Source organism: Homo sapiens, chromosome 14 (assembly GCF_000001405.40).
Source record: "Homo sapiens chromosome 14, GRCh38.p14 Primary Assembly".
Taxonomy (NCBI): Eukaryota; Metazoa; Chordata; class Mammalia; order Primates; family Hominidae; genus Homo; species Homo sapiens.
The window spans coordinates 31,718,622-31,743,051 of record NC_000014.9 but is presented as its reverse complement, the minus strand read 5'-3'; the positions used below and the strand labels follow the sequence as shown (position 1 = coordinate 31,743,051).

The 24,430-nt window shown below is 36.2% G+C and overlaps 1 protein-coding gene across 10 annotated transcripts in view; it reads right to left on the bottom strand.

Moving 5' to 3' along the window:
• Positions 1 to 24,430, bottom strand: part of NUBPL (NUBP iron-sulfur cluster assembly factor, mitochondrial) — a 299,821-nt gene that overhangs the window by 118,173 nt on the left and 157,218 nt on the right. Inside the window, exon 7 of one of the 10 annotated variants that reach the window (XM_017021666.2) lies at positions 13,991 to 15,701. The exons of the other annotated variants lie outside the window; for them this stretch is intronic. Coding sequence (XP_016877155.1) covers positions 15,669 to 15,701 — 33 coding nt within the window. The 3' untranslated portion in view covers positions 13,991 to 15,668. Of the gene's footprint in view, positions 1 to 13,990; positions 15,702 to 24,430 lie in introns of those variants that run through there. 10 annotated transcript variants of the gene reach the window in all.

The following is a 24,430-nucleotide window of genomic DNA, read 5'->3' as shown; positions in this document are numbered from 1 at the left end:
GCTAAAAGATAAAATCAAAGTAATACCCTGAAATACAGGATTTAGAGGTGGGAGAGTTCTAATGATAAAATCTAGGTAAGATTATGGCTTAAAAATGCAGTGAAAATAAAATTTATAGAAGTTGAAATGAAATAATTAAAAGAGATGGCAGGCACGGTGGCTCACGCCTGTAATCCCAGCACTTCGGGAGGCTGAGGCAGGCATATTACTTGAGGTCAGGAGTTCAACAGAAGCCTGGCCAATATGGTGAAACCCCACCTCTACCAAAAAAAAAAAAAAAAATCAGCTGGGTTGGTGGCACACACCTGTAATCCCAGCTACTTGGAGGGCTGAGGCAGGAGGATCACTTGAACCCAGGAAGTGGAGGTTGCAGTGAGCTGAGCTCATGTCACTGCACTCTAGCCTGGGCGACAGAGTAAGACTCCATCTCAGAAAAATAAATAAAAGAGATAACCTAGGATTATGGCACAGGTCAATGTGAAAAGACTACAGGCCAGCTGGTAAAGTTCTTAGTAAATATTGGTGGCTGCTTTAGAACCTTCATGGTACTTGCAGTATGGTCCAATAGCATCATCTAGAAGCTTGTTAATAATACAAAATCTAAGACCCCACTTCGGGCCTGCTGAATCAGAATCTGCATCTTAACAAGAATCCCAGGTAATTCAGGCATAGAGTCAAGTTTGAAAGTCACTGGCATACAACTTAACAGATAATATAAAAGACAAAGATAAGAAGTGGATGTCCTAATGGCATGAACCTGGGAAAGGAAGATGTGTGTGTGTGTGTGTGTGTGTGTGTGTGTGTGTGTGTGTGTACACAATAGTTAAAATTGGTTTCATAGTGCCAGTGGAGAATTAGGCAAATTCTAACAGTATCTCTGTCTGCCATGATCTCTGGAGCTTGAGAATTCTGGGTAAATTAGGGTCATATCTATTGTCTGGATATTTTAATATGGGTTTCCTATCTCCTTCCTCTGCATTTATTGAAGTGTATCTTCTGTCTTAGGCTTTTTTAGGGGGAGGGAGAGGATTTTATATTTTTATTTTAGGTTGCCTCCTATTACTTTTATAAAGATATGGGATATTTAAAAAATCAGTTTGGGGATGGTTTCACGTCTGGCATGGAAGGAGCTTATAAGTTGCAACTCTGTCCTAACAGGTAAAAAACTGAACAAACTGAAAAACCAACTTTTCTTAGATCTGTAAGAGAGGTGAGGTCACAGGGCAAACCAGTGCCCCAAAAATTAGACAGGTAGACAGGCAGATATGAAGAACCACAATTTATCCATGTAGAAACCTACAAGCAGAAATGAGTGCCATGGGAGAAAAACTTAAACTGTAAATGACAAATTGATGGAGGCTCAGTGTTGACAAGTCTGAGGGTCAAAAACTCTAGGAGGACTCAGTAACATGGGGGTCCCCACACTGTTGTGAGTTTTACCTGCATGAACTCAGCCAGGTTCTCACGGTGAATGTCAGAGAAAAAGCTGGTGCTTCTGGCAAGAGGAAGGGGGAAGTAGCTATTTTGAAATATGCAGGAGTACTCTACCCTTACAAAGATCTACTCTCAGAAGCAACTAGTTTACCAGAACCCAGCCTGCTGGGTTTATATCGGAGCTGAACATACCAGAGGGAAGGGAAATACCTAACTCCAGCCCCCTCTAGTCATTCTGTCCCACCTAAAGAGGGAGGAGGGCAGTGAGCAGGGATCTGAGAAGCACCAGTGAACTTCACATTCCAGAGGCAAAGGCTCATTAAAAAACTGAGATGTACTCATAGGACTACAGAATATTCCCCCTGCCCCCTGCACTTGCCCATACCTTACTAAAAACCTATTTAAAGCAATTCCTTTTACCCATACATCATGCCTGGCTAGGAAGAAAAAAGTACAGGGAATCCTAAGAGGTGAAAAACATAGTCTGAAGATACAGGGTATCAGAACCAGACACTGACATGGCAATAATACTGGAATTATCAGACCAGACATTTTTTTAAACTGTGATTAATATGCTAAGGGCTCTAATGGACAAAGTAAACAGTGTGCAAAAACCAACAGATAATGTAAACAGATGGAAATTCTAAGAAATAAAAAGAAATGCTGGAGAAGAAAAACGCTTCAATAGAAATAAACAATGCCTTTGATGGACATATTAGTAGACTGGAAATGGCTGAAGAAAGAGTTTCTGAGCTTGAGTATATCTCAGTTGAAAGGTGCAAAACTGAAAGCAAAGAGAAAAAAGACTGGGGGGATGAGGGGAACCAGAACAGAATCTCCAAGAATTGTGATACAACTACAAAAGATGAAACCTGGGAGAAAATCTAGATGACTTTGGGGTTTGGCAATGACTTTTTAGATATAGCACCAAATGAGAGAACGTATTGATAAGCTAGACCTCATTAAAAATAAAATTTCTGCTCTGCATAAGACACTGTCAAAAGAATGAGAAGACAAGCCAAAAACCGGGAGAAAATATTTCCAAAAGACACATTTGATAAAGAATTGTTATCCAAAACATACAAAGAACTCTTAAAACTCAACAACAAGAAAACAAACAACCCAATTTAAAAATTGGCCAAAGACCTTAAATACATCTCACCAAATAAGATATATGGATGGCAAATAAGCATATGAAAAGATGTTTCATATTATATGTCATCATGGAAATGCAAATTAAAACAACAATAAGATACCACTACATATCTATCAGAATGACCAAAATCCAGAATACTGACACCACCAAATGATGGTGAGGATGTGGAGCAAAAGAAACGCTCATTTCTTGCTGGTGGGGATGCAAATTGGTACAGCCACTTTGGAAGACAGGCGGTTTCTTACAAAATTAAACATACTCTTACCATATGATCCAGTAATCATGTTTCTTGGTATTTACCCAAAATAGATGAAAACTTATATCCACACAGAAACCTACACACAAATGTTTATGGCAACTTTATTCATAACTGCCAAAACTTGGAAGAAACCAAGATGTTTTTCAGTGGGTGGCTAGATAAACTGTGATATACACAAACAATGAAATATTATTCAGTACTGAAAAGCAGTAAGCCATAAGGTCACAAAAAGACATGGAGGAAACTTAAATGCTACTGCTAAGTGAAAGAAGCCAATCAGAAAAGTCTACATACTGTATGAATCCAACTACGACTTTCTGGAGAAGGCAAAACTGTGGGGGAATAAAAAGATTAGTGCATATCAGGGGTCAGAGGGAGAGAAGGATCAATAGGCAGGACACAGAGGATTTTTAGGATAGTGAAACTATTCTGTATGATACTATTACAGTTGATATATGTCATTATATATTGTCAAAACCTATAAAATGTACAGCACCAAGAGTGAACTCTAATGTAAACTACAGATTCAGGGTGATAAAGATGTGTCAATGTAGGTTCATCAAGTATAACAAATAGACCACTCTGGTGGAGGATGCTGATCGTAGGAAAGGCTATGCATGTGTTGGGGCATGGGATATATAGACAATCTGTATACCTTCTGCTCAGTTTTGCTGTGAACCTAAAACTGCTCTAAAAGGTCTATTAAAAACCAATTTTAGAAGTATTTCTATATGCATATACACATATACCTATACTCACATGCATTCTATTTTCTAGCCTAATTAACTGACCAACATATTTTCAAAAACTCTACACTTGGCCAGGCACGGTGGCTCATGCCTGTAATCCCAGCACTCTGGGAGGCCAAGGCGGACGGATCATCCGAGGTCAGGAGTTTGAGACCAGCCTGGCCAACATGGTGAAACCCCATCTCTACTAAAAAAAAAAAATATATATATATAGAATATAATATATATATATATAATATAATATATATATAGAATATAATATATATATATATATTAGCCAGGTGTGGTGGCGGGCATCTGTAATCCCAGCTACTCGGGAGGCTGAGGCAGGAGAATTGCTCGAACCCAGGAGGCGGAGGTTGCAGTGAGCTGAGATTGCGCCACTGCACTCCAGCCTGGGTGACAAGAATGAGACTCCATCTCAAAACAAACAAACAAACAAATAAAAAACTCTACACTCTACATATGTCTATTATATTTAGCATATCAGTTTCATATATAATAGACATATTCTTCAAGCCTCTAAAATTTTGAAGCTGACTATAAATGATCAGATACTATATAACAGACTTTTCCCCTATTTTCTCCCTGAAACTTGATGAAACAGGGAATGGATATACCTATTCAATAAAATGTAATTTTTAAAAATACCAATTTATAAATCACTACTATAAGAAGAACTCTAAGGAAACAGAAAAATCAGAAAGTTTAGTACATTTTAGAAACAGTTTTTCATATGGGAAATTTTTTAAATTATCATTCCTAATCAGTTAAAAAACACAGTAGTTGCTACCAGAGATGTCAAAACCTTTTGTTTTATGTTGGAATTTAAAGTTAATTCCTCTCCTTGAGCATTAGGTAACATATTCCTGCCTTGGGCTGTCCAGATAATCATTGTCTTTTGGTATAAAAAATTTATAGAGAGATAATATTTAAATCTGTTTCTCAAAGTACCTGGAAGTGTACCAAATAATAAAGTATAAAATAAAACAGCTGGAAGAAAAGGAACTGTCAAGAGTCCCCAGTCATATGTATCTGAGATCTAGGTTCACAGAGCTTAGTTTGCAAAAAGGAAAAATTCACATGACATAATCACTGATCACAGTTCTGTAAGGTTGTAGCCTCTGGTGAAGAGAATCCTAATAAAACCCATATAACTGGCAACCTCTTATCTCTGCCCTCCAAATAGCTTGACTTTCAAATTATTCTCTTTCCTGAGTAATTTCCAGAGCTCCCACTATATTTTTGATATGACCTGAAGGTAAAACAAGTTGAAGTAATGTAAGCAAAACTAAACATATTAAATACTTTGTGCAGAATATGTTGAGTTATAATATAAGCAGTGACAACCACTATTTTAAAAGTTTATTATTGAAAACATAAAAGCTTTTAAATTCTCAAGTGTTACATATAAATATGAAGGTTATCATGCAAAACTTGTAAAAGGCCAGCACTGAACCATTACTTTTATTTCTTAAGTGAAAAGTGTGCTTACAAATAAAAAATGAAAACCATTTCCAAAGAAAGAATAAATAAAACAAAAAAATTCAGAAATAGAAGAATTATTGGTTCAAATTGTCTATACTCTTATACATGGGAAGAAAGGAGAGCTTCAACTGTTAAGTAAGTGCGACTACCATGAACAGAAATAATTAATTTATTATTATTATGAGACAGAGTCTTGCTCTGTCACCCAGGCTAGAGCGAAGTGGCATGATTTCAGCTCACCACAACCTCTGCCTCCCAGGTGCAAGCGATTCTTGTGCCTCAGCCTCCGGAGTAGACGGAACAATAGGCACCTGCCACCATGCCCGGCTAATTTTTTTTGCATCTTTAATAGATGGGGTTTTACCATGTTGGCCAGGGTGGTCTCAAGCCCCTAACCTCAGGTGATCTGCCCACCTTGGCCTCCCAAAGTGCTGGGATTACAGCTGTGAGCCACTGTGCCAAACCCGAATTATTTAAACATTGTTATAAGTATATACAAGTAGGATGCTTAGGGAGACAGCTATCAAAGGTTAGAGTGGTGATCACACATATGGTCACTTGATTTATAACCAAGATACCACTGTAATTAAGTGCTGGAACAACTAGACATCCATATGGAAAATATAATTAACCTTGACACTTATTTCACACTATTCAAAAAGTTAATTTGAGTGAGATCATAGACATAAATGTAAAAGCTGACACAATCAAGCTTCTAGAAGAAAACAGAATTTTTCATAAGGTAGAAAAGACTTCTTAAATAAAATACACATAAATCTGAATAGAAAAATTTGATAACCTGAGCTAAATTAGAAGAGCATTTTACAGCAAAAGACTCCATTAAGCAAGTGAAATTACAAGCCATTGATTGATATCTGCAACACATCTGACAAAGGGCGCATATCCAAAATATATCATGAATTCCTATAAATCAGTAAGAAAAAAACAAACAATGCAATCTTAAATCAACAAAAAACATGAACCACCATTTCACAAAGATGGATATCCAAGTAGACAATAAGCAGTACTCAACAGGGAGATGCATTTTTAAAACACAAAGAGATACCAAAACACACCTGCAAGAATCACAGAAACAGATAAACCAAGTGTTAATAAGGATGTAGAACAACTGGAATTCTCATATGAATGGTTGGAGATTAAATCGGTACAATTACCTTAGAAAACTGCTTGACAGAACCAACTAAAACTAAACATATCCCTAAGCTAAAATCCAGCAGTCACATTTCTAGGTATATACACAAAAGAAATTAGTGCATCTGAATCCCATAAAACATACACATGGATGTTTATGGCAGCTTATTCATAATAGCCCCAAGTTAGAAATAACTCAGATGTCAACAGGAGAATGGACATTTTGTAGTACATAATACAGTGTAATACTATATAACAACAAAAAAGAATACACTGAGGATTCATGCAAAAACATGGATGGATCTCAGCATTACACTGCAAGAGAGAAGACATTAAAAGATTTTATCTACATGAAGTTCAAGGGCAGGCAAAACTAATAAATATTTAAAGAAGTCATATACTGGTTACCACTGAGAGTGAGTATTGAGTATAAAGACACAAGAGGAAACCTCCTACATATTAAAAATGTTCTAGATCTTGATCTTGAGAGTAGTTATTCAGGTGTGCACAATATTTTAAGATTAGCACACTTTACACATTTTAATGTTAAATAAATGATTAAAGTGTTTTCTTAAGTTAGGGTGGCAGGGAAAAAACAATGTCAAGAAAACTTTGGAGGTCGCCTAATCCTTTTGGGAAGCAATTTGGCTTTATATATTTAAAAAATTCTATGCACAAAATACTTTTCAGACAAACACTTATTTATAATGGAGAGGAAAATGGCCAAAAAGAAAACCCCACTGTATTTCTAACAATGAGGAAAAGTTAGGAAGACTGAGTAATATATACTCCCTCTGAAATATATACCTATTGTAACAAGTTACCATTTATTTATAATGTTTTATGGGCCACCACCATAGCAGTTTGTGAAGCATATTTCAGACATTTATCATACAAATGACAAACAAGTAATATGTCTTTCTATCCAAGATTATGAATTTATATTCACTCTGATTTTTTTTAAGACAGAGTCTCGCTCTGTCGCCTAGGCTGGAGTGCAGTGGTGCAATCCCGACTAACTGCAACTTCCACCTGCCAGGTTCAAGCAATTTTCCTGCCTCAGCCTCCCGAGTAGCTGGGATTACAGGCATGCGCGACGACGCCCGGCTAATTTTTATATTTTTAGTAGAGACAGGGTTTCACCATGTTGGCCAGGCTGGTCTCGAACTCCTGGCCTTGTGATTCGCCCGCCTCAGCCTCCCAAAGTGCTGGGATTACAGGCGTGAGCCACCGCGCCTGGCCATTCACTCTGATGTTTAAAATTTTTTAAATGTATTTCACCCTGATTAATAAAACGGTGGGAAACATTTAAGAAGCAGACACAAAATAGACATACACCAATCCCCTATACTTTTCAGTTATTTGAACCATATAGTGTTTGGTTCCACATATGTTTAGTCTGTGTATGTTTCGTCCTTGGTTCAGATACTACTTGTGATACCAAATAAGGTACAAGTGACAATATCCAATCTGTAATTTTTCTACTGTTTGAAGCAGCTAACAGTTGACTTTGCCATGTTCTTCCTGGTTTGCTATTAATTGAAAAGGTAATTTAATATATATACAAATTACATAGAAATCTACTAGGTCTACATAAATGACAAAAAGAAATCAACCTAGAGCAGTAGTTGCCATCTAGGTTGCAATTCTGGTCTCACCCTACTCCAGGACATTTGGTAACGTCTACAGACATTTTTAATTGTCACAAGTAAGGCTGCTATGGACAGTTAGAAGACAGAAGCCAAAGATGCTACTAAACACCTTCTAGTACACAGGACAATCTTCTTTCCCTCCCAATACAGGATTATCTGGTCCAAAATGTCAGTAGTAAAGTCAACAAATTTGGGCCTAGAGTTAGCATGGTAGGGACTATAAAACTTAATGTCATCTGATCATCACTGACTTGTCTTCTTGGTTATAACCTGGAGGTTAAACGCCAGATCTACAAAGACCATACAGGATTCACAGAAGAGGAGTAGCTAGCAGAAACCCTGAATATCTACAGACCCATTACTGGAACCTTATCTGTGACTGAGGTATATAGTATTCTTGCTACTATTTCATGTCTTTGATTATAAATACTATACAATATTTATTTACTTATTTATGTAGGGGAAAACTCATAGACACGTATATTTATAATTCAAAAAATTCAACTAAAAAGCACAAAATAATTATAATAAACCTTGAGAAAGTAGAAGAAACTTAAAATGAAGAAATTTATGAAATATGAAACTAAAAAGCTAGAGTCTTAAATTTAACAATAAACTGTTATGAAGATATTATGTGAAGAAAAAATTTTTTTGAGAAATACTCTTTTATTTTGAAATTTGGTTTTTGAAGCTTTCTCATTTCTCATTTCATTTCCAGAACCACTGTGTGCACTGGTCTAGTCAGAGATTGTTCTCTATGTTAGATTGGAGATACTAAGGTGAAACAGCTATCAAATGTCCTGACTCTAATTCGACACTTTCTTTCATTTAATAGCCAATGTCATCCTTGGGGTGAATGAAGGACAAGAGACAGAAGTGCTCATGCTTAAAAGGACATTATTATATGGCAGATAATCTTTGTGAAGGGATATTTGGATTCTGAAGCCTTTTATGTGAAGAAAATTATAGAACAACATCACCCGTGAACATAGACAGAAAATCCTTAAAATAATAGAAAAATGATTTTAGCAAAATATAAAAATAATAATACATCATGACAAAATGATTTAATTCCAGGAATACAAGGTTGATTTAATGTAATTTATCACATTAGCAGAATAAAGGAGAAAAGCTAGATGATCACTTCAACAAATGCAGAAAAATCATTAGACAAAATTCAATAGCCATTAATAATAACAACTCTCAGCAAACTAGGAACAGAACTCTCTGAAGCTGATGGATGATGTCGATGAAATAACTACAGCTAACATTATTTACTTAGTCATGGGACATTAAATGCTTTTCCTAAGAGATCAATACAAGACGAGTAAATACATTCTCACCACTTCTACTCTACATAGTACTGAAAATCCTAGTCAGTGCACTAAGGCAAGAAAAGGAAAAGTCATAAATACTGAAAAGTGAAAGCTCTCCTATTCCTAGATGACATGATTACATATACAGAAAATCCTATGGAATCTACAGAAATTACTAGAATAAGTGATTTCAGAAATGTAGTATGACAGGTCAATATACTAAACTCAATTATGTTTCTTTGTATTAGAAACACATAATTAAAAATAAAATTAAAAAATAGAAATAAAACCAACAAAATATGTACCTTTATTAACCTATAAAATACTACTGAGAGAATTTTTTAAATACCTAAATAAATGACAAGATATATAATATTCATGGATCAGAAGACTCGACACTGTTAGGATGGCAATTCTCTCAAAATTGAGCAATAGAGTCAATATTATCCCTAGCAAAATCCTAGCAGAAATTAACAGGCTAATTCTAAAATTGCTATGGAAATATACATGATCTAAAATGCCCAAAATAATCTTTACAAACAAATCCAGAAGCCTTACTCTACAGCAATCAAGAACACGTAGTATGAGGCAGGCAACAGCATACAGAATTCAAAAGCAGCCACTCCATACGAGGGATATCTATCTATCTACCTACCTACCTATCTATATATATAAACATTTTTTTTCAACCAAGGCTTTAAGTCAATTAAATGGGGGAAAATATCTTTACATTTGGTTCTGGAAAACTGGACATCTGTATAGGAAAAAGTGAACCTCAACTTCTGTTTCACACCATACACAAAAATTAATTTGAGATGATCATAGGCTTAGACCAGAATCAAAAACCTTCTAGATGAAAACATAGAATTTCCTCACGCTTGGGATAGGCAAAGTTGTCTTAGGACCCAAAAAAGTACTAACCATAAAAGAATAGGCCGGGCGCGGTGATGCACACCTGTAATCCCCAGCACTTTGGGAGGCCGAGGTGGGCAGATCATTTGAGGTCAGGAGTTCGAGACCAGCCTGGCCAACATGGTGAAACTCTGTCTCTACTAAAAATACAAAAATTAGCTGGGCATGGTGGCGCACACCTGTAGTCCCAGCTACTTGGGAGGCTGAGGCAGAAGAATTGCTTAAACCCGGGAGATGGAGGTTGCAGTGAGCTGAGATCATGCCACTGCACTCCAGCCTGGGCTACTGAGTGAGACTCCATCTCAAAAAAAAAAAAAAAAAAAAGAGAACAAATTGATAAGCTGGACTTACAAAGTTAAAAACAATCTACCCATGAAATGACACAATTTTAAAGATAAATAAGCAAGCCAGAAACTGAGAAAATCTCTCTCTCATACACAGAATATAAAGAACTCCCACAAATCAACCATTTTTAAAACTCATTTCTGATTTTTTAAAATTCAGAATATATTTTAATTCACATTTTTAAGCACAATAAATCTTTGACAGTGTATTAAAAAAGTGTTTTTAAAAAAGATTCTGAAATATAGGCTAGCTAAATGATTTGCCCAGAGTCTGATCTAACTAATTACTTTTGAAATTGCCAAAGTTAAAGGAGTGGACAGTGAGGTCAGCATAAGTAGTAGCAGATCTAGAACCTGGGTCTTCCAGTTTCCTTTTCTTTCTTTCATTTTTTTTTTGAGACAGAGTCTTGCTCTGTCACCCAGGCTGGAGTGCAGTGGCGCGATCTCGGCTCACTGCAAGCTCTGCCTCCTGGGTTCACGCCATTCTCCTGCCTCAGCCTCCCAAGTAGCTGCGATTACAGGCACACCATGCCCGGCTTTTTTGTATTTTTAGTAGAGACGGGATTTCACCGTTTTAGCCAGGATAGTCTAGCTCTCCTGACCTCGTGATCCGCCCGCCTCGGCCTCTCAAAGTCCTGGGATTACAGATATGAGCCACCGCGTCCGGCCTCCAGTTCCCTTTTCAAAGCAAGGAACTAGAAATCTAGAGAGCTAGCTAGAATTCCAAATTCCATCCTTCCTTTATGTTATACATTTGACCAAGTTGAGAGTTTCAGAGTATCTTCTGGTGATACTCTTCTGAGGAAGGCTAGAAAAGGAGGCTGTGTTATTCCTAAATGTAAGTCATAAAAATGGATAGTTCTCAAAATGCTATTTGAGTCTAGGCTTTCAGAATACAGGGGGCATTTCCAGGAATTCAGCCTCAGCTGTCCAGCTATATAAGCTGACACATGACAGCAGTATTTGAGTTTATAATGAACAAACTGTTCTTTGTATCCATTCCTGGCATCTATCTTAGGATCTGGCAAATATTACATACTTAGTAAATGTTTTCATTAAATGGTTAAATGGAAAAAATGAGAAGTTACAGCAGAAAACTTAAGCAATCTTTGGACTATGCTACATAAGTAAAAACTGCATTAACAGCAGTGCCCACTAAGAAGTGATGCTGAAACCCAGAGGCATAAAAAATTATGTGTGTCAAATGTATTATATAAGGTAATGATGGAATTTGGAATTCAAGCTGGCTCTCTGGATTTCTGGTTCTTTGCGCTGAATATCTGTATCTCTTACCATCTTCTTTGGAGCTCCCCTTTTTATCGTTCCACATTGCATTGTGAACTGTTTATTCTGACCTATCTCCCAGTTCACTAATTCTCTTTACACCTATATCTAATCTCATGTACAACCTAATGATTAAGTTTTAAATAGTGTGTTTTTCAGTTTTACTATTATCTTACTGCTTTCATATCTGCTGGATAATTTTTAGTTTCCAGTTTGTTGCTAGATTTTTATTTTTGGCCTTATTTCTTTGAACATAGCAAATTTAGTTGCTTTATAGTCTATGTCTAACAATTCCAGTGTATCATTTTCACTGAGTCTATTTCTATCGTCTGTTGTATCTACTAGGTTTTACTCAAAGTGTCTTTTATCCTTCCATGCCTGATTATCTTTGCCTGTGCACTGAATAATGTGTTTAAAAAAAAAATAAACTGACACATTGGCTGACAACGTCCTCTTCCAAAGAGAACTTTCTTTTGTCTCTGCTACAGCTTGGAAAAACTACAATCCAGGACCATCTTAATCTAAATTCTAGATTTAAGATTACCTGATCCAGGCCAGGTGCCTGTAATCCCAGCACTTTGGGAGGCCAAGGTGGATGGATCATGAGGTCAGGAGATCGAGACCATCCTGGCTAACACGGTGAAACCCAGTCTCTAGTAAAAATACAAAAAAAAATTAGTCAGGCATAGTGGTGGGCACCTGTAATCCCAGCTACTCGGGAGACTGAGGCAGGAGAATGGCGTGAACCCAGGAGGCGGAGCTTGCAGTGAGCTGAGATTGTGCCACCGCACTACAGCCTGGGCGACGGTGCAAGACTCCATCTCAAAAAAAAAAAAAAAAAAGATTACTTGATCCAGCAGATGATGATGAAAGTTGTCTTGCAAGTTTCTGGGAGAGCCAAATTAGCATTAATTCACTGCTACCCTGAAAGCTCAGCCTTTTGTGGTTCAAGCAAACTACAGTGCAGAATTCTCAACCTTGGCCAACTCCAGATTTTGACTTACACCCCTCAGTCTTGTGAAGCATATGAAGGCAGAACTTAGCTTCAAAACTGGTAAGCTATGATCAACAAACATCCTTAAAACAAAAGTGATTTTGAGAGAATATGCTTATTCCTATGGGTTCTCATCTTCTCCCAAATAATTGTAAAAATCTATTTTTCATATTTTATCCAATTTTTAAATTGTCCTTAGCATGAATATTGGTCCAAATTGCCGTACTGCCATGATATCAACAGAACCTTACTTTTTCTAATCATTAAATCTCTGTAAACTGGGAATAAAGGAAACACCCTTAACTTAATAAAAAGGATCTACTAGAAACCTACAGCATACATCACTCTTAATAGTGAAAGAGGAGAAACACTGCCATCAATATCATATATGAGACAAGGATGACCACTATCACTGTTATTATTCAAAATTCAACTGATGATGCTAGATAATGCAATAAGAAAAGGAAAACAATTAAGAGATATAAACACTGTCAAAGAGAACATCACCTACTTAGGAATTCTGTTTAAAAGTTACTAGGCTGGTGCAAAAGTAACTGTAGTTTTGCCATTTTAAAAAAATGGCAAAAACTTCAATTACTTTTACACCAACTTAATATTAGAATAAATAACAGTGTTAAGATGGCTGAATACAAGAAAAATACATAAAAATCAAGTTCCTAGGCAAAAGCAATAACAAAATACATATAAAGGCAAAAAGATTCTATTAATGTGGAAATAAGAGTTTACATATGACTAAAGTAATATGTTTTAATCTTGACATTCCAATAAACATTAAAAATTTGTACATTCAAATGTAGGTTTCTGCATTGTGGATTATTTATAAAAGGGTAAGCCTTTGGAATACTATTAAACTTGACCAAAATAAATAAGAACTATTTATTCTATGTTTGTTTACTTATATGTCACCTATAATGCTAAGGGCCACACCCATTTTGTTCATCATATATTCTGCATATGGTGTCTGGGGTAAGATATACATATTTGTTGAATGACTTTTTTTTTGGGGGGGGGGGGGATGGAGCATCTCTCTGTCACCCAGGCTGGAGTGCAGTGGTGCAATCTTGGCTCATTGCAACCTCTGCCTCCCAGGTTCAAGTGATTCTCTTGCCTCAGCCTCCCAAGTATTGGAATTACAGGCGCCTGCCACACGCCCAGCTAATTTTTGTATTTTTAGTAGAGAAGGGGTTTCTCCATGTTGGCCAGGCTGGTCTCAAACTCCTGAACTCAAGTGATCCGCCCACCTCAGCCTCCCAAAGCACTGGGATTACAGGCGTGAGCCACCGTGCCCAGCCGTACTTGTTGAATAATTATAAATGAGTAAACTCTTTCAATTTCAGGTGCTTAAACTCCTTAATTATTTCAATTTTGTTTGAAGTTCTATAGTAACTAATGTTAACCTTCTATATAAATAATCAGTTTCATAAGAAGATCCCCAATCTCAGGTTCAAAATTAGATAATAACTTTGGCTTTCAAGAGTTTTTAAAAGCAATTTGAAAGAATCACCTACTACAGTAACAGCAATGACATCTCACAAAAAGCTGGAAGGGATAGCAATCAACCAAGTTAGTCACTTGTAAAAGTATCAGCTATAATGAGATTGCAGAGACAGGTCTTATGGTTGAGAAAGTGAATAGTTGTCTAGTGATCAATAGTAGGGGTTCTTATTTCTCTTTGACCCTTCTAAATTGATATTACTTTGCAGTCATTAACTGAGTTTCTCTACTCACACTAAGTCTGGATCTAGCTACCTACAGGCTTTATACAGACACCATCATGTTACAAGGTGGTTCTAACAAAATACTTAATGCGTCTACTTGGTAAATACTTTTCAAATAAATCTATCAAAAATTTTACATGGCCAGGTGCAGTAGCTCACGCCTGTAATCCCAGCACTTTGGGAAGCTGAGGTAGGAGGATGGAGACCATCTTGGGAAATGTAGCGAGATCTTGTCTCTATTTTAACAATAATAATAATAATAAATAAATTTATAATACAACACAAGAAAATAAATAAGTACATTTGAGTGGCTCTCAGTTTCCATTTCCTCACTTGGGTTTATGGGAAATAAATAAATATCAAGTAAAAAGCACCTGAATCTATGAAAAAATATGAATGTTTTTAATGTAGTGATAAAAAGTAGTAAAAAAAACTAGCTTCAATTCTGCCTTCTATAAATAACAAAATTTAGATTTCAGTTGACAGCTTCTATACAGGTTTTATGCCAAAGCAATTTAGAAACAGACAAGTCAGAAACTCCTTAAAATTTTTTGATTTTATAATAGAAATGCTGACAGATGCTTCTTTTATAATAATGCCCAGTAAGACTATTATATTTTATAAATGACTACATCATAATATATATGCAAATGTTGTATATTAAAATGCAACAGTTCCCAGCTTATACTTAAATCAGGACCATGAATAGTTTAGTAAAATATGTTACAAACAAAGTGTGATGTGACAAGAAAACATACTGAATTAAAATATAATACAAGCAGGGATTTATTAGAACTTGCTATTTGGATTTATTAGAACTTGCTATTTGGATTTAAACAAAAGGAAATATCAATGTAAATACTAGGAAGGGGAGTCAAGACGTACAAACTAAGTGTGGCCCAAAAATAATTTATTTCTAATGTGCCTAGCATATACCATAACTGCTTATGAAACCATATCCATCATGAGATGATCATACTTCTACACTAAGACCAAAATATAAATTTTAAAATATACATAACTTTAAAAAAATCCTTGGGTCTCCTGCTTCTAGAATCTTTGATCACCTGCTCAGCTTTCTGCTGCTGCTGTCCTTTTCTGCTGTTATACCTTATGATGTCTTTGTCTTTGACAGTTACAAACCACTAATTCCACCAACCCCTCCTTTTGAACTCTCCACATCTGTATTTCAACATATAATGGTTGTCAAGGTAATTTGGGGCTGAAAAAACAATATAAGAGAAATATGGTAAGCCTTCATTACTGAGGACCTAAAGCTAAATAATCAACTTGAATTCATCATATTTCAAAACAAATTAGAAATACGTAAGAGCATTCTACAATTTCTTCATTATAAAGCTACAGGCATGCCTCAACACACAGCTCATACTAGTGCACAGTTCATCTTAAAATAAATAATTTACAATGAGCTTTCCTTAAATGACACTATTTTCTTTAATTTTATCTAATGAAAATATTGGATTCATCTATTAGCATGGGTGTGTTCTGGTGGGTTATTCGCTAACTCAACAAGAGCTGATTTGCCCCTAAAGGAACGTTTGGTGACGCCTGAAGATATTTTTTATTGCTATGACTGTTAAGTGGGGGTGGGGGTTGCTACTGATATCTGTTGAGTATTTAGCAGCCAGAGATGCTGCTAAAATCCTACAATGTACAGGACAGCCCCTTCAAGACAAAGCATCATCAGCTCAAAACATTGATAGTGCCACTGTTGAGAAGCCCTGCAGTGATGCCTTTGACTTCCTAGAAAGCAATTCACAATAGTTTCCCTTATTTTTAACCCAGTATAAACACTCAAGTCATCAATCAAAAATCAGAACTGAACTTTAGGCAAAGAGAAGGAATGAAGTATCCAGATGACCTGTGAGAATAATTAACTCATTATTCATTTAGTCAACAAGTGTATCAAGCATGGTGCTCTCTAGACATTGAGGATACTGTGGTCCCCCAGACAGACAAGATCTCTGCTTTCATATAGCTTATATTTTAGTGAATCTCAGGTTGAAGAAATCTGCAAACTAAACAAAAAACCCTGAATGCCTGACACATTCCAGAAAAATGATATAGCAACATGCAAACAGTTCCACTGATAGAGCATTCATTCTATTTTTGAAATATATTTATTTTTATGAGCCAAAATAACCTTCCCAGTAGTTTTCACCCTTGGATCAGATTTCTGCTCTCTTGGGTCATAAAAAACAAATCCCTGTTTCACATGACAGCCCTTTATACTTTAAGACAGCTATATCAAATATCTCTGAACTTTGTCTCCTAAAGGCTAAAATAATTCTATCGGTGCTTTGGACAGATCTTTATAAGACATAATCCTTAAGACTGGAAGGAAAGGAGTACAAATACCAGGTTCTATATGACTTTAGGCCATTAATTAGTAATTGCTACATAAATTTTCTTGAACTGTCCTTCTCAAACTTGCAATATTTATTTTTATGAGAAAGGCCATAACATTTACCAACTCCTATGTACAAAGCAATGTTTGACACTTCTAGATAAAATACATCTTTAATTCAAAAATCTGAAATCGGACCAGGCACGGTGGCTCACACCTGTAATCCCAGGACTTTGGGAGGCTGAGGCAGACAGATCATTTGAGGTCAGGAGTTCGAGACCATCCTGGCCAACATGATGAAACCCCGTCACTACTAAAAATACAAAAATTATCTGGGCGTGGTGGTGGGCGCCTGTAATCCCAGCTACTTGGGAGGCTGAGGCAGGAAAATCGTTTAAACCCGGGAGGTGGAGATTGTAGTGAGCCAAGATTGCACCACTCCACTCCAGCCTGGGCAACAGAGTGAGACTCAAGTCAAAAAAAAAAAAAAAAAAAGCTGAAATCTAAAATGTTCCAAAATCTGAAATTTTTTGAGCAGTGACATGACCCGACAAGTGGAAAATTCCACATCTGACTTCATGTGATGGGGTGCAGTCAATGCAGTCAAAGATTTGTTTCATGCACCAAATTATTTCAAATGTATAAAATTGCCTTCAGGCTATGTGTATAAAGTGTATATGAAACATAAGTAAATTTCATGTTTAGACTTGGATCCCATCCTCAAGGTATCTCATTATGTATATGAAAGTATTCCAAAATCCAAAAAAAATCTGATATCCAAAACACTTCTGGTACGCAGCATTTTGGATAAAAGATACTCAGCCTGTATCTCATTTAGTTATCACAACAATCCCATGAAGTAATGGATAGCAATTAACAAAACAAACTGGATTTGTAGCACTGAACAAGCCTGTTGACCTCTCTGTCTCTGTGTTTTAACCAAAAAATGGAGACAATAATACAACCTATCTCACAGGGTTGTTTGAGTACTCTTAATTGGTCTACCTACTTTCATTCTTCTCCTAACCTCTACCTTTCAATCCCACTCAGTTCAATTCTCTACACAAGCCACCAAAGTAATCCTTTTAAAACAACCAAATCATGTCCCTTTTACTACCCTAAACTTCCAATTGCTTTTATCATATTTGGAATAAAGTTCAAAATCTTTACTATAAGATACTAGATGACATAACCCCTGGCTTCCTTGCTCACTTGACACTTGTGCACTTGTTCCCTTCATTTTGTATGTTCTTCCTCCAAATACCTGGATGGCTCACTCCCTTTCCTTCCATTCAAGTCTCTGCTTAAATGTCACCTTCTCAGATAAGCCTTCCCTGATCATTCTCAATTGTCTTATCTTGCCTTTTTTTCCAAAGCATGGATCATTAATCAATGTTATACTATACGGTTTTCATTTATCTGTTTGTTTCTGTCTCTACCACCAAAATGTACGATCCACAAGACAAAGGTCTTTGTTTCATCACTGTATCTCCAGCCCTAGCATAGTAACTAACACATTATAGGTGTTCAATAAATTGTCAATTAGTGAGCAAAATGAAATAATTCAAGTAAAAAGCAGAGCAAAATTCTTGGCAAACAGAACACATTCAAACAATGCTAGCTATTATAACTACCAATAGCAGTGTCTCTTATTTTTCAAAAATTCATTAAACAAACCATTACTGAATACTACCTCCATGCTGGGCACTGTACAGTGGAACTTTATAATACTGATGCTAGGTTTAGGACATTTTTAAAAACCTGCTAAAGAGCCAGTGGCATGAGATTATAATTATAATCAATAAAATGCCTTCAAAAGGCTTTGAGAATTCCACTCCTCATAGAACTTACGGTTTTTCCTTTAAAGTGATTTTATTAGATCTCATTAGCCCAACCAAGCACAGTACCAGGCCTTAGCAGTTGATCACAAAATGTTAACAGTGAGGCATTATAATTTCCTTCTTCAAATTTTTTTCAGGCTGTTGGTTTCTCTTAAATCCAAAAGCCAAGACATACACTAGCCATGAACAATTGAAGAATATCACTAAAGATACCAAGTGGCATTAAATGTATTAAACAATTCAAATAAGGTTATATAGAGCTCAAAATAATAAAAGCCATTTGTGAGAAACCCCTAGACAACCTCATATTGAATGGGCAAAAGCTGGAAGCATTCCCCTTGAAAACTGGCACAACGATGCCCTCTCTCACCACTCCTATTCAACTTAGTATTGGAAGTCCTGACCAGAGCAATCAGGAATGAGAAAGAAACAAAGGGCATCCCAATGGAACAAGAGGTAGTCAAACTATCCCTGTTTGCAGACCACATGATTCTACATCTAGAAAACCCTATAGTCTCGGTCTAAAAGTTCTTACGCTGATAAACAACTTCAGCAACATTTCAGGATACAAAACCAATGTACAGAAATTGCTAGCATTCCTATACAGCAACAACAGTCAAACCGAGAGCCAAATCAGGAACACAATCTCATTCATAACTGACACAAAAAGAATAAAGCCTACAAGTATAGCAAACCAGGGAGGTGAAAGATCTCTACAATGAAAACTACAAAACACTGCTCAAAGAAATCAGAGATGACACAAACAAATGGAAATACATTCCATGCTTATGGATGGATAGGAAGAATCAATATCATTTAAATGGTCATACTGCTCAAAGCAATTTACAGATTCAATGGCAGTCTTATCAAACTACCAATTACATTCTTCACAGAACTAGAAAAAACTATTTTAAAATTCATGTGGAACCAAACAAGAACCTGAATAGCCAAGGCAATCCTAAGCAAAAAGAACAAATCCAGAGGCTTCATGCTACCTGACTTCATACTATTCTATAGGGCTACAGTAACCAAAACAACATGGTACTGGTACAAAAACAGGTGCATAGACCAATGGAACAGAATAAATAACCCAGAAATAAGGCCACACACCAACAACCATCTGGTCTTTGACAAGCTGACAAAAACAAGCAATGAGGAAAAGACTCCCTATTCAATAAACAGTGCTGGGATAACTGGCTGGCCATATGCAGAAGATTCACACTGGACCCCTTCCTTACACCATATACAAAAATCAGTTCAAGATGGATTAAAGAATTAAATGCAATATCAAAAGCTATAAAAATCCTGGAAGACAACCTAGGCAATACCATTCTGGATACAGGAACAAGCAAAGATTTCATGACAAAGACACCAACAGCAATTGCAACAAAAGCAAAAATTGACAAATGGATGCAATTAAACTTAAAAGCTTCTGCACAGAAAAAAACAAAAAAAAACTATCTTCAGAGTAAACAGTCAACCTACAGAATGAGAGAAAATATTCACAAACTCTGCATGTGACAAAGATCTAATTCCAGCATCTATAAGGAACTTAAACAAATTTATAAGAAAAAAAACCAACCCCATTAAAAGGTGGGCAAAGGACATGAACAGACACTTTTCAAAAGAAGACATATGTGCAGCCAACAAACATATGAAAACAAGCTCAGCATCACTGATCGTTAGAGAAATGCAAATCAAAACCACAATGAGATACCATCTCACACCAATCAGAATGGCATTAAAATGTCAAAAAATAACAGATACTGGCGAAGTAGCGGAGAAAAGGGAACACTTACACATTGTTGATGGGAGTGTAAATTTGCTCAACCATTGTGGAAAGAAGTGTGGCCATTCCTCAAAGAACTAAACACAGAAGCACCATTTGACCCAGCAATCCCATTACTGGGTATATACCCAAAGTAATATCAATCTTTCTACCATAAAGACACATGCACACATGTGTTCATTACAATACTATTCACAATAGCAAAGACATGGAATCAACCTAAATGCGCTTCAATGACAGGTTGAATAAATAAAATGTGGTACATGGCCGGGCGTGGTGGCTTATGCCTGTAATCCCAGCACTTTGGGAGGCCAAGGTGGGTGTATCACAAGGTCAGGAGATTGAGACCATCCTGGCAAACACAGTGAAAACCCGTCTCTACTAAAAAACAAAAAACAAAAACCAAAAATATTAGCTGGGCATGGTGGCAGGCACCTGTAGTCCCAGCTACTCGGGAGGCTGAGGCAGAAGAATGGCGTGAACCCAGGAGGTGGAGCTTGCAGTGAGCCAAGACTGTGCCACTGCACTCCAGCCTGGGCGACAGAACGAGACTCTGTCTCAAAAGAAAAAAAAGAAAATGTGGTACATATACACCATGGAATACTATGCATCCATAAAAAAGAATGAGGTCATGTATTTTGCAGGAACGTGGATGGAGCTAGAGGCCATTATCCTTAGCAAACTAACACAAGAACAGAAAACCAAATACCACATTTTCTCACTTATAAGTGAGGGAGCTAAGAGATGAGAACACATGAATACAAAGAGGGGAACAACAGACACTGGGGTCTACTTAAAGGTGGAGAATGGGGGGAGGGAGAGAAAAAAACTGTTGGGTACTGGGCTTAGTACCTGTGTGACAAAATAATCTGTACAACAAACCCCCGGGACATGAGTTCACCTATATAACAAACCTGCACATGTACCACAGAACCTAAAATAAAAGTTTAAAAAAAAAAACGTTACTAGAGATGCACCTGAGGTGTAATAGAGTCCCTTCCCAGCTATATGTGACCTTATGAAAGCTACTTAGCTTTTCTATGCTTCTGTTTCCTCATCTGAAAAACAGAAAAAAAAATTACCCTACATAATAAAATTATTATGAAAATGAAATAAAAGCAGTGAAAATTTCAGCCATATACTAAGCCAGCTCAACGTTTGTTCTCTCCATTCATGGAATATAAACTCTGGCAATAGCATGGAATCTACTGGAAATGCTTTATACTTTTGTGAAATGTCTAAAATATCTGGCACACACTCAGTAAATGTTGGCCTTATGTTAAATTCTATAAGGCAAACATACTTAATTCCCCAGTATTTAGATATTTAGATATCCAATATTTAGATAGTAAAATCATCAGAGAAACAGGGCAATTTGCCTAAGACTTTGTACTAATGAAGTAAAACTAATAGTTACACACTTTACAAAAGGGGATTAGCATTACTTTAGAATTGAAAGCCTCCGAACATTGCCATTAACCCATACGACTCCCCAAAATTTGAGTCATTTTTTACTTATTTGTTCATCAGCCAACAAACGCATCTTGAAATAGAACTACATGCCACATACTATTCTAGGTGCTAGTGATAAAAAGAAAAAGGCTTGGTGTCCCTCACTTACTATGAAGGAATTCAAGGGCTCTTTAAATGGTTCATTGTAAGGGTTATGGAAACTTTAAGGAGGAAACTAATTATTTGATAAAAGACTTTATAGCAGTGCTGTCCAATAGAAGTTTCTGCAGTGATAAAAATTTTCTTTAATCTGTACTGTCCAACACAATAGCCACTAGCCACATGTGACTACTGAGCATGTGAAATATACTTACGACTGATGAACTGAATTTTTTTTACTTTATTTTACTTTAATTTAAAAGCCACATATAGCTAGTAGTTACTGTATTGGACAGCACAGCTTTAAAGGATAGGTAATATTTGAGCTGAAGCATTGAAGAAGAAAGTAAGAAGCCAATGAGGTGAGAGGTAGTACGTTCTAAGCAATGGAAAAGAAACAAAGTACACAAAGGACTCTGAGAACACCTCAGTGTTTTCAGGGAAGGCTACCTATGTGGAATGTGGAAAGAGGAGAATAATGAGGCTAAAAGGGACAGACAGGACCAAAATACGAATGTCCTTGAAAACCAGGCAAATGCCTTATGCCACAGACAATGAAAAAATATCAAAGACTTTAAAACCAGAGGATATATTACTATATCCATGTTTTAGAAAGATAATTTTTAACCATAAGATGAGTAATACATTGAAAGAAGAGTCCAGAGGTAGGAAGACCAGCTATGCACGTTATTATTGCAGTACTCCAAGTTAGATGACGAAGACTTGAACTACTGCAATTATAGCGAGAATGGAGATGAACAAATTTAAGAGTGATTTCAAAGATAAAATTAGTGGGACTTACAGAATTATGAGAAGTGGGCGATGAGAATAAATCAAAGTAAAAGTAATAAGGTACTAGCCTGGAAAATCATATAATCTAGGCACTTTCCACATTGGCTAAAGGGATTAAAGAAAGTTTATAGGCTCCTGCTCAATGTTGTATGTAAGTAAACAATCTAAATATCCAATAAGCTCTTAAGAGTTAAATAAATTATAAAATCAGTCAAGATGGCATACTATATCATTATTTAAATCATTTTTAAAAGAATATTAATAGCAGGGTAAAATGTTCATGACATGGCATAATGAAGTAAGTTGGCTAAAAAGCAGCATGTATAGCATTATCATGATCTCATTGTATGCACTGGTAGATATTTTTAATTGAAAGAATATGCCAAAAAATTAATAGTGGCTTACTTTGATCATGGGGTAATGGGCCATTATAATTTCTTTCTTGAATATTTTTTTCTTATTGTCTAATTATACCACAAGTATAAGACTTTTTTATTTACAAAAATAAACTTTTGCTTTAATGCTATGCACCTAAAAGCACTGGGGCCTATGGTGAATCTACTGATGCCTGCAACTGTCTCACAAACTGTGGGAAGTGACAGGACCAGACTCCAAGTCTAGTGCAGTTCTTTATGGGAGACTAAATTCACAGCAAATTAAATAAGGTAGTTTTTTTTTTTTCCTTTAGGAATGTCTGACTGAATTATAAAGTATAAAATGGATTATTTCCCATTTAATTTATTTATAATGTCTTAACCTGTATGACTTATGTCTATATACTTGCAATTATAAGTGAGAGTTCAGTATAAACCTATACAGATTGTCCCACACATACAATGGCTCAACTTATGATTTTTTGGCTTTACGATGGTATGAAAGCAATACATATTCAGTAGAAATTATACTTCAAATTTTGAATCTTTATCTTTTCCTGGACTGGTGACATACAGGCAGTATGACACTCTCTGGCGATGCAGGGCGGCAGCAACAAATCAGTTCCCAGCTATTCAGTCATGAGGGTAAACAACACATATTCTTTAGTGTGCTGTGTTGCCAGCACTTTTTGGATATCATTTTGCCCAAATGTAGGCTAATGTATGTGTTCAGACCACGTTTAATGTGGGCCAGGCTAAGCTGTGATTTTTGGTAGGTTAGGTGTATTAAATGCATTTTTGACTTACGATATTTTCAACTTAACGATGGGTTAATCGAGACATAACTTCATCATAAATTGAGATGCATCTCTATTTTATTCTGTGTAGTCATGCAAAAAAGAGATTTATTCTGTTCATACTCAATTTCAATTACTCAGGTTCATTTGATATAGAGCAGACACTACGTGCTGAAGAAGCAGCTCAGCAAACACTAATCTTTTTTATATGTACATGCCAGTCCCTTTTTGCACTTAACAAAACCTGGCTTTCCAAGTTCTAAATTTAGATTTATGAAGAAATCCTGACCTAGTAAAGATAAGCCTGACACAAAGGTATATGACTGTGGCAACTCCTCATACATCCTGGATCTGAATAAAATACAAATTATATAAGTAA